At 38.8% G+C, this 12,208-nt stretch overlaps 1 protein-coding gene and 1 pseudogene across 9 annotated transcripts in view; one reads left to right on the plus strand and one right to left on the minus strand.

Annotated features, from left to right (window-relative positions):
- The window catches only part of NBEAL1 (neurobeachin like 1), a 210,587-nt gene that overhangs the window by 40,360 nt on the left and 158,019 nt on the right, over positions 1–12,208 (plus strand). For 8 of the 9 annotated variants that reach the window (XM_011511658.4, XM_047445554.1, NM_001378026.1 and 5 more), the window contains exons 5-6: positions 1,460–1,541; positions 2,359–2,486. In XM_011511658.4, coding sequence (XP_011509960.1) covers positions 1,460–1,541; positions 2,359–2,486 — 210 coding nt within the window. The remainder of the gene's footprint in view (positions 1–1,459; positions 1,542–2,358; positions 2,487–12,208) is intronic. The other variant, XM_011511660.3, reaches the window with a different exon arrangement.
- On the minus strand, positions 6,354–7,436 carry LOC100419679 (zinc finger protein 670 pseudogene; annotated as a pseudogene).

Genomic DNA, 12,208 nt, shown 5'->3' on the forward strand with positions numbered 1-12,208 from the left:
CAGATGCAATCAGCAGCTTCTCATTGTTTCATCTACCTCTGTCAGGACTGGTAGAAGTCATGAGTGCAAAAATGGATCTAAATGCAGGTCTCATCTCTTTCTGTGTTTCCTTGTTCTGTATCTTGGATCTGTAATTTTTCACTTCCTTATTAATTTTCTCATGCCTTTAAACAGATTTTTAAAAAAAGTTTTGTCCATGTTTTCTAGTTGTTCTCAGGGAGAGGACTGATCTTAGTCCACTATTATTGGAAGCAGAATTCTTGCAGAGGCTTCCAATTTTGCCTCTGCCTGTACCCTGTTTTCTCCAAGTTGTCATGCCAGTCTGACTTCTTACATTAAGAAGTCTTTTGGTTGGGTGGGTGTGGTGGCTGACACCTGTAATCCCAGACCTTTGGGAGGCTGAGGCAGGAGGATTGCTTGAGCCCAGGAGTTCAAGACCAGCCTGGGCAACAAAGTGAGACCCTCATCTCAACAAAAAATGTAAAAAGGTAGCCAGGCCTAGTGGCACATACCTGTAGTCCCAGCTTCTCAGGAAGCTGGGGTGGGAGGATTGCATGAGCCCAAGAGTTTGATGCTGCAGTGCACTGTGATTGCACCACTGCACTCTAGTCTGGGCAACCGAGCAAGATCCCATCTCTTAAAAAAAAAACCAGAAGAAGTCTGTTAATTCTGTTAATTTTTCTAAAATTAGCATTTACTGGATTTTAAGATATATGTTTTACAAGATCACAATATCTCATAACAAAATTAATGAACGTTGCTTTTTTATTATGTCAAGGGAAAGATTTTAGGTATAGTAAATATTGTCTTGTTTTACCTCAGTCTTATAAAAAGGGAATAAAAATGAGGGACCATATTTTAGTTAAACACTAAGCACTTATGAACCCACTGCTTTAAACAAAATATGATACTGTGCCGTCTTAGAGTAAGTAAAGATGCTGTTAGCCCTTTTTCAAGGACTTTTAATGTAGTTGAGGAAATATGACATCCTTAAAAGGAAACCGTAATTCAAAAAGCAAAGTGAAAATGATTATAGTGCACATGTTATAATGAAAACAGTATGTACAAAAAAGAAAACTAAGAATCTGCATAGGGACAAAAATCTGTAAGGAAATAATGTAGATGTACATAGTTGCTTATTTTTAGATTGCAAGATATTGGTGTTTATTTTTTCTCTTCTGTTTCTACTTTGTGATATTTTCCAATTTTCAATAATAAATAGATGCTAATCAGCATATACTTTTTAAACATTATCTGTTTATAGTAGTTAAATGCTGCTTGAGTTATAGTTCACAGTTGGTGGGAAAGCAGTTATATAACCATATTGATTTTTATGTTTTAATAAATGTCATTTGCATTTTGTTTGCCAGCATGTGTTCTCATAATTCAAGCTGAATTCATGAACATATGTTTTGTTCACCATTCTTATGTAAAAAATTAAAGTCTCTTTTTCTCACAGAAATCTATCAAATGTGGAAGAAATTGGGACTTGCTCGTACATTAATTATGTCATCACCATGACAACACTCTATATTCAGCAAGTAGGTGTGAACTAATCTTTTTTGTCACTTTACTGAGAACAACTAGGTTTTACTTTTTGTTTGTTTGTTTGTTTTGAGATGGAGTTTTGCTCTTGTTGCCCAGGCTGGAGTGCAATGGCCCGATCTTGGCTTACCACAACCTCTGCCTCCCAGGTTCAAGTGATTCTCCTGCCTCAGCCTCCCAAGTAGCTGGATATTACAGGCATGTGCCACCACGCCCGGCTAACTTTTGTATTTTTAGTAGAGACGGGGTTTCTCCATGTTGGTCAGGCTGGTCTCAAACTCCTGACCTCAGGTGGTCTGCCCGCCTCGGCCTCCCAAAGTGCTGGGATTACAGGCATGAGCCACCATTGTCTGGCCTACTATTTTTTATATTATAGTTAGTATAGTTAAATATTTTCAGACGAGGTAATAATTGAGAAGAGACTTAAACTTATTGTTGGGTAATGCATATTTCAGAAATCTTGTACATATTACCTAAATATAGACAAGTAGTTATTATATATACTGTTATTTAATTTAAAAATTTAAGTGTTTTATAAATGGCTTTTAAAATGATACAATTTGTGATTTTTATGTATTATTTATTTATCACATATCCTTCTTACTGAAAACATATTACTTTTTCAAAAGGTGTTTGGCTATTTATTTTAAAGCTATCGTAGGACATATTTAAAATCTTAGTGGCTGTATCCAGTCCATATGATTAAATGACTCTTAGTCTCAAAGGGAAAGTTTGGCTTGTTTGAATACAAATGACTTATTGTTAGATGATAAGTAAGGCATGTCTTTAATTTATGTTTAACTTTGTTCTCAGTTAAAAAGCAAAAAAAAAGAGAAGGAAATGGCAGATCAGACATGTATTGAAGAATTTGTGATCCACGCATTGGCATTTTGTGAAAGCTTATATGATCCATATCGGAATTGGAGACATAGAATTTCAGGGTATGTCTTATAAATAATAACGTTCATTTAAAACCTGAATGTCATAATATATTTGATTCTTCAAAGCAGGTCTTCTCTATGAAAGCAATTGGAAAGAAGTATATAAGACCCACAGATTTAACTCTGAGCTAGAGAAATATGTTGGAGGGAATGAATTAGTGATAAATTCTGCTTCTGAATAATTACATATGCCCTGAACTTGTATTTTGCAATGCAATTTTGAATACTAATAATCTGATAAGAAATGTTAAAGGCATAGTAGCATCAAATACAGTATACATATTTTTCAAGAAAAGTTATTTTTTAAAAAACATACTTTATAATTCGAAAATGCTTTCTAGCAGTATTTTGTCCATTTTTTTTCTTTTTTCTTTTTTTTTTTTTTGTTTTTTTGTCTTTTTGAGACAGAGTCTTGCTCTGTTGCCAGGCTGGAGTGCAGTGGCACAGTGGCATGATTTCAGCTCACTGCAACCTTCGCCTCCCAGGTTCGAGCAGTACTCCTGCCTTAGCCTACCGAGTAGCTGGGATTACAGGAGTGCACCACTGCGCCCGGCTAATTTTTATATTTTTAGTAGAGACGGGATTTCACCATGTTGACCAGGATGGTCTCGATCTCCTGATCTCATGATCTGCCTGCCTCGGCCTCCCAAAGTTCTGGGAGCCACCGTGCCCGGCCTTTGTCCATTTATTTTTAACTGTAGAGCTTCTGTCATCAGGATCCCATAAGGAAAACATAAACGAGACTAAATATTTTTATTTTTAGACACGAGATCTCACTATGTTGCCCAGACTGGTCTTGAATTCCTAGGCTCAAGTAATCCTCCCGCCTTAGCCTCCCAAATACTGGGATTATAGACATGAACCACTGCACCCAGCCTCCTCACACTTGGTATTTTAAAAGAGAGGATCTAATACAAGGAAATTGATAAATATTAGAGAATTGACAAAGCAAAGATGGGACACTGACTTTAGGAAACAGCTACTCTCCCTGGGGTTATGGGAACAAAGGGAAGAGAATGGAGTTATCAGAATCTAGACTTTTGGAGAAGAGGCCCTACAGCACTGAGGTTCAGACCTCTGAGGAAGGAGCATTGCACAGCTGGTGCTGATATCTCTTGAGCAGTCAAGAGGCTCATTCTGGGATTGCCAAAAATAAGCTGAAGACAGGAACCAACTGCCATTACTACAATTAAGAATTCTTGCTGGAGTGATGCTGATGAGTATAGAGAAAAAGAGCAATGTGGAACCAGTTGTTGCTCTCTTTCTTCCACGCTTCATCTGGTACCCTCTATTAGGGAGCCCAAAAGGGAGGCAGCTGGAAAAAGAAAGTTTGCATGATGCCTGCCGCAGCATCACAAAGCAGAGAGAATATAGAAGGGTGGGTTGGTAGCTTAGTGACAATAGCTGAATTACCAGTACAGAACTCAAAGAGAAGAATTTTAAAGTCACATATCATTCTTACCTGTGGGCACAGATTACAAAGAAGTGTTTCATCACTCTCAATCAGACCTCTTTTTTAAATCTCCTAAATCTCCTCAAGATTTTCCATTTTCATTTTCAACTTAACATGACCCATTTGTAAATAATTTCTACTTCCTGCAACACGATTGCAGCATTTCATTACTAAATTATTTTTGTAGGCTTTTCAGGGTTCCCATGGTAGTATAGCCACCATACCATTAGATGATGGTGAAGAATTGATAACTGAGAGAACATTTATATATACTATGTGGTAACACCTTTTGTATGTTCTATATAGTGATGTAATATTTTATTGAAATCAGAATACATCCTGGGAGATGGAGATTGGAAAAATGTTGGTTAAAGATACAAAATTTCAGTTAGACAGGAGGAATAAATTATGCTTCAGTAACAAACAAGGGGCTTAGAATAACAAAAGATTTATTACTTTTTCATGTTGTCTGTCTTTTGTGAATAGGCAGAGAGCCTCTACTCATCAGAGCTACTAAAGATCCCAGGCTAACAGAGCAGCCAGCATTTTAGCCTTTGCTGGTCACCATGTGTGAGAGAAAAAGTTTTGAAAGGTGTCAAATTGGCAATTTAATGTTCTTGTCTTGTCTGGTCATGCTACATGACACATGTCATTTTCATTCTGAACTCATTGTCCAGAACTGTGATTACATGTCCCCATCTACTACAGTGGGGCCAAGTTAAAATCTACCATGTGACTAGAACGGGTAGAAATAGTTGTCAGTTAGTGCCGTGACTACCTTTTATCTCTGCTTATGCCCTGCTTATGAGTCTTTAAAGATACAAAGAGGGAGCCGGATGTGATGGCTCATGCCTGTTGTCCCAGCTACTGGGGATGCCGAGGTGGGAGGACTGATTGAGCCCAATAGTTCAAGGCTTCAGTTAGCTATAGAGACCTGTCTTTTTTTAAAAAAAGTACAAAGAGACACTTAACAGTGCTTCATCTGTAGCCTTTATACTCATTAGCACTTTGGTTCTAACTAATCAGTGTTCCCCCTGTTTTGACATGTATGCCAGAGATTTCTCTAAGGAAAGTATATCTCCTCCTCTTCCTCCTACTCTTGCTACTTCTCTATCCTCCGCCTTAGACTTGTCAGCAATGGCAAATCTAAGAGAACATTTTAAGTTTTGAAACAATGACATAATTTTTCTTTATAGACAGCAAGACAGATACAGAAAGAGGAACATAAAATCAGTCTGAAAATGGCAGAAGAGAGGCTTTTAAAGGAATCTTTAATAATAAGAGCAAAATGAATTTAAAGATGGGGAGAGAAGATTTATAAAAAGGCAGCTCTGATAACAAATTAAATAAAATTGGTAGCTAAAAACAGTTTTTGAAAGTCAAAAAGAAAATTTTTTTGATAATAACTATTAAAAAGGAAAATATAATAAAGATTATTACACCAAAAAAGAGTCATTTTCCCATATAAAGTAGAAAACATATACGGATAACCAAAACTTGCCACATGAGGCCAGTCAGAAAATTCCAAATATTAACAAAAACACATTTTTCACTGGCCCATTAATCAGAGAACTTTAAAAATTACATAAAAATTAAAATTACCTCCGTATAGGAATACATTTTAATTCACCCAGAGATCCAACACACTTAAGAGAGAAGAATTTTACTAATTTAATTTTTTAAAAAACCACTACCTATTAAACTCATGTAGCATTGCTAAGAGTATCTACGGAATTTTCACATCGATGTTTTCTTGCGAAAGTGGAAATCAAAAGCACAGAGACCCTCTTTAACAATGAACCGCTGATAAGCAAAATATAATTATAATAACATTCCACTTACGTGCATTTGTGAGCATTAATTTACATCAGGCTTTCCAATTTACCAACATTTATAGAATTTCTTACTAGTGAGAGTTTTACAAAACTTTTGAAGTAATTGTTAAATTTGAAAACATTTCTGTATTTTCCAGACCACTGTGCTTCCAATCCAGAGTGCTCTCACATTTATAAGGTCCATCTACAGTTTGTTACCATGTGTCTTTGAACATGTGTTAGACAAATGAAGGTATTCTCACACTCTGTACATTTATAGGAATTTTTCAAAAATGAGTTCTTTTAAGTATCAAATGAAACTTATGAACTAAAGAAATTACTACACATTTAAATTTATAAGGCTTATCTCCACTGACTTCTTACATATTTCAAGGAAAAATGGAAAAACTGAAGGCTTTGCCACATTTCTTAGAATTACAGGGTTTTTCTCTATTGTGAACCCTTTTATGTCCTTGAAAGAAACTGGGGAAACTGAGGACTTTACCAGTTTTTTTACATTCATTTTTCCCCCAGTATGAGTTTTTCTTAGTTTTCAAAGGGAACTGGGAAAATTGCATGTTTTCCAATATTCCTCACAATCCCACTATGTGTTTTTTCATTTGTTCTAATAGAACTAGAACATCTGAAGTCTTTACCACATTTCTTACATTCACATGGTTTTTTTCCAGTATGACTTCTTTCATGCTGTTGAAGGGATCTGGGAAAAGTGAAGGCTTTACCACTTTACTTCCATCCAAAGGGTTTCTCTTCAGTTTGAGTTCTTTCATGTCGTCAAAGGGAACTGGAAAATGTGAATGATTTACCGCATTTTTTACATTCCTAAGGCTTTTCTCCACTGTGAGCCCTTGTATGCTTATGAAGGAAACTGGAAGCTGTAAAGGCTTTACCACATTCTCTACATCTATAGGGTTTCTCTCCAGTATGAATCATTTCATGTTCTCGAAGGGCGTAGGAAGAAGCTAATAATTTATCACTTTTATTGCATGCATAGGGTTTCTCTCCACTATGAGTTATTTCATGTTTGTGACAGTTTCTGGAATAATTGAAGTCTTTACCACAATGTTTACATTTATAGGGTTGTTTTCTCCAGTGTGAGTTTTCTGGTGCATTTGAAATAAACTGGGGAAAATAAAGTTTTCCCCACATACTGTACATTTATAAAATCCATTATCACTGTGCATTACCATGTGTCTTCAAACACCTGTGAGAGAATTAAAGGCTTTCCCACATTGTTTACATTTATATGGCTTCATTTCACAGTCCTCACACTCAAATAGTTTGTGTCCAGAGTGAGATATAATATACCTGTGAAGAGATGCATGACATATGAAGACTTTTCCACACATTCTGCATACACATGGTTTTACTTTAGTAGAAACTTTCTTGTTCAGATTAAGATTTGAATTCTGGCTGAAGGTTTCTCCACCTTGACTATTTTGTTTACCTTCACACAGTCTCTCTACCATATGACTTACATTTCTCCCATATTTTCTGACTTGATCGTCAACATTCTGGTCTTCCCATTTGTTTTCTGTAGAAGCCAAATTCCTGAAGGTTTCCTGCGTCACATCTCTATAAGAGTTTCTTCTGGGAAAAATCCAGCAACGCCCACTCCTGAGGGGTGAAGGTTACAGCCACATCCTCAAAAGTCACTGAGTCCATGTTCCAGCTTCCAGCATGCTCCAGCATCCTGCCCAGGGATCTTGCAGGGCCTGCAGGTCACAGGCAACAGAGGCTGCCCCAGAACCACCTAAGGCCTCTCAGAGCTGAGGAGAGGGAGCCCAAGCTAGGAGCGCAGCCCAGAGACCCAAAAAGAAGAAAATTTTATATACTATTAATATAATATAGGAAGATAATTCTGCATATGTAAGATGGCAACAGAAAGGGGGGCAAAGTAGAGGATGAGTAGCAGCATTTAATGAATGTATGCATATATTTGCCAGGAATTACATTAGAAGCTGTGTATGTGTTATCTCTAATATACACAACAATCTTGCCAGTAATGTAAGAACTGCTTCAAAGACAAATGGTAAAGCAGGGAATTCAGACTTGGATTTCTTTGACTTTGACAGGGAGATTAAAAAATGGAATTAGGAGAAATCCATTGCTCATGGAAGACCTATACAAAGGGATCTACAGCAATAATTTACACCTTATTTATTAATCTGATTCTGAAATTAAGTGGAAATTTAGAAGATATATATTTTCTTATTCATTGTGTTTAATGCTTACCAAAATAGCGAAAGCAGGTTAGAATAGATTTAATTAAAATTAACATAATTCCAAATACAGAGCCATGTAAAACTATTTCTTTTCTTATTTGATGACAACAAATAGATGCTTTTTGTAGATTTGATTAATCTGTTATCAATTTTGATTCTACTTACAGAATCTCAGAAAGTTAGAAAGATTTTCTCAAGTGGAACTAAAATAAGTGTAGGGAAATAAATCAGCCAGGCATGGTGGCTCACACCTGTAATCCCAGCACTTTGGGAGGCCAAGGCAGGAGAATTGGTTGAGGCCAGGAGTGTAAGACCCCATCTAGAAAAAAAAAAAATTGGCCAGGTGTGGTGATGTGTGCCTCTAGTTCTGAGTACTTGGGAGGCTGAGGTGAGAGGATCACTGAGCCCAGGAGTTGAAGCCTGCAGTGAGCTATGATCACACTATTGCATTCCAGCCTGGGTGATGGCAAAACCTGAAAGAAAGAGGAGGGAGGGAGGGAGGGAGGGAGAGAGGAAAGGAGAGGAGAGGAGAAAGGAGTGGAAAAAGGAAAGGAAAGAGGGAGCGAGGGAAGGAAGGAGAAGAGAAGTGAGAGAAGAAGAAAGGAAGAAAAGAAGAGGAGAAAAGAAAAAAAGAAATCTTCCTTCAATATGACTTGTTCATTCATTTAAACATTGATTCAAAAATATACTTATTGAGTTTCTACTTTGTGACTAGTGCAAGTTTAGTAGGATTCCTTGCCTTGCCACAGAGAAAAATAATTTAATTATGTTAAGGTATGCCCTGTGCCTCCTACTTGTCAAACCTGGAACAATATATGCACAAAATAATTATAGTAATGAATTATTTAACCATTCAGGAAGAAAATTTATGAGTTCATACCAGTGATAGATAGATAAGGGAGAAGTGAAGGGTGTTGCTTACAGTAAAATTCCAAGTGCCAATTAGTAAATATAGAGGAGATGCTGGAGTTGGGGAAAAAAAACACATTTTGCACACATCATTGTAAGATTGGATCAGGCAAGAATCATTCATGGGTGTTAAACCTAGGGGGAAGTTTTAGTTGGGAGCATGATGTGTGTATGGTTTTTTTGTTTGTTTGTTTGTTTTGAGACAGAGTCTTGCCCTGTTGCCCAGGCTGGAGTACAGTACCGTGATCTTGGCTCACTGCAACCTCCGCCTCCCGGGTTCAAACAATTCTCCTGCCTCAGCCTCCCAAGTAGCTGGGTTTACAGGCGTGCACCACCATGCCCAGCAAATTTTTTATTTTTAGTCAAGACAGGGTTTCACCATGTTGGCCAGACTGGTCTTGAACTCCTGACCTCAGTTGATCCACCTGCCTCAGCCTCCCAAAGTGCTAGGATTACAGGTGTGAGCCACTGCGCCCGGCCATGTGTATGGTTTTAAAATGTCTCCCCACGATTACTTATTACTTGTAATTGAAAAATCAGTAATTATTTTGGACAGTACTGGGCCAAATAATCCAGTTGGTTGGATGATCAAAATTAACTGATCATCAGTAAGAAGTAGTGGGTATCATGTGCTCCACATGTGATAACCCTAAGAAGGACACTTCATTGCTTATGTGTTATTCCAGCCAAGCATGCATAATCTGAATCTAATTGTGAGAAAACAAGCAAATCCCAAGTGAAGAACATTCTAATTTTTTTAAAAAAAGGAGGGCTGGAGGACAACTTTCTTTAAAAATATCACAAAGTGGGGTTATGGAAATGTTTCAGATTAAAAGAGGCGAAAGAGACACTGAATGCAATACCTGACCCTGGCCTGGAAGCTGTATTGGAAGAGGGAAATGCTACAAAGGATGTTAGTGGGTGAACTGACAAAACTGGAATATGGTTGGTAGATTACATAGAAGTATTGTACCAGTGTTAAATTTATTGAAGTTTATAACTATACTGTGGTATTATATAAAACTATATCCCTATTAGTAAATATTCACTAAAATATTAAGAGAGGAAGGACCATGATATATGTAATTTCCTATATATAATGGGGCCCTGCACAGTGGCTCATGCCTGTAATCCTAACACTTTGGGAGGCTGAGGTAGGAGGATCACTTAAACCCAGGAGTTCGAGGCCAACCTGGGCAACATAGCAGGACCCCATCTTCACAAAAAACAAAAAAAATTAACTGGGTATGGTGGCTTGCACCTATGATCCTAGCTTTGCAGGAGGCTGAGGTGGGAAGATCTCTTGATCCCAGGAGTTAGAGGTTGCAGTGAACTGGGATAGCACCATTTCACTCCACTCTGGACAATAGAGCAAGACACTGTCTCTAAAAGAAAAAAAAAATTTGGGATAAAGTGTTAACAGTGAACTTGGGTAAACTCTATTTTGATGTTCTTTGATCTATTCTTATTGTTGCATCTTTTGCCAGAACTTGAACTTTTTCCAAATAAAATTAAGAATAATGATTATGTCCTAGGTATGATGTGAGTACAATGATTATGTCCTAGGTATGATGTGAGTACAAAAAAGAAGCATGGTGGCTGGGGCGCGGTGGCTCACGCCTATAATCCCAGCACTTTGGGAGGCCGAGGCGGGTGGATCACAAGGTCAGGAGATTGAGACCATCCTGGCTAACACAGTGAAACCCCGTCTCTACTAAAAATACAAAAAATTAGCCAGGTGTGGTGGCGGGCGCCTGTAGTCCCAGCTACTCAGGAGGCTGAGGCAGGAGGATGGTGTGAACCCAGGAGGCGGAGCTTGCAGTGAGCCGAGATTGCGCCACTGCACTCCAGCCTGGGCGACAGAGTGAGACTCTGTCTCAGAAAAAAAAAAAGAAGCCTGGTTAAATCAACCAAAAACATAAACTTAGAAAACTGAGATGCAAATAAGCGTTTTACAGCCCTCTCAGAAACTGGTTGATATGTATTAGCATCTGCTAAATGCTAGATGCTTGGCCCAAATATCAAGTAATAATGGAGCAATTAACTATGCTATATTCTACAAATGGTATAAGACTAAAGTTCATTTTTAGCTCTACTAAGTTATTGAAAACATGCAGTACAAACTACTTGTGCTTTAATTTTTGTGTTCTAATATATGTAATAGTTCTCACCCCTTTTGTTTATGTTAGCATATTAAATTCTTACCACAAATATATTGGAAATTATGTTCATATGTTACATCTAATACAGGAACTTTAGAATGAGTCATTGATCACAAATTGTAGAAGTACATTTTTATTATGTTAATCAGGTGAGGATGTTTATTGTTTGTAGCATAGGTTGTTTGGATAGGATATAAGCAATCTATTAATACCATAATTTTTAATGAATGCACAAACTGGAAATAATCTCGTGGAAAAACCTAACTGAAAGCTAAATTAAATTTTATCCTTTTTTTTTTTTTTTTTCCATTTAAACCTGAGTTGACACAGCACACGTTTCAGAGAGCACGGGGTTGGGGGTAAGGTTATAGATTAACAGCATCCCAAGGCACAAGAATTTTTCTTAGTACAGAACAAAATGGTATCTCCTATGTCAACTTCTTTCTACACAGACACAGTAACAATCTGATCTCTCTTTCTTTTCCCCACATTTCCCCCTTTTCTTTTCGACAAAACCGCCATCGTCATCATGGCCCGTTCTCAATGGTCGCTGTCTCTTTGGAGCTGTTGGGTACACTTCCCAGACGGGACGGGGCGGCCTGGCAGAGGCACTCCTCACTTCCCAGATGGGGCAGCCGGGCAGAGGCGCTCCTCACTTCCCAGATGGGGCGGCCGGGCAGAGGCACACTTCACCTACCAGACGGGGTGGCAGCTGGGCAGAGGCGCTCCTCACTTCCCAGACGGGGCGGCCGGGCAGAGGTGCACCTCACTTCCCAGAAGGGGTGGTTGCCGGGCAGAGGCGCTCCTCACATCCCAGATGATGGGCGGCCGGGCAGAGGCGCTCCTCACCTCCCAGATGGGACGGCTGGGCAGAGGCGCTCCCCACCTCCCAGACAAAGGGCAGCCGGGCAGAGGCGCTCCTCACTTACCAGGCGGGGCGGCCGGGCAGAGGCACTCCTCACCTCCCAGACGGGGCGGCCGGGCAGAGACGCCCCTCACCTCCCAGAAGGGGCGGCCGGGCAGAGGCACCCACTTCCCAGACAGGGCAGCCGGGCAGAGGCGCTCCTCACTTCCCAGGCGGGGCGGCCAAAATTTTATCCTTTTAAAATTAATTTTTCTACCACATGATTGAATTTTTTAT

Source organism: Homo sapiens, chromosome 2 (genome assembly GCF_000001405.40).
Source record: "Homo sapiens chromosome 2, GRCh38.p14 Primary Assembly".
Taxonomy (NCBI): Eukaryota; Metazoa; Chordata; class Mammalia; order Primates; family Hominidae; genus Homo; species Homo sapiens.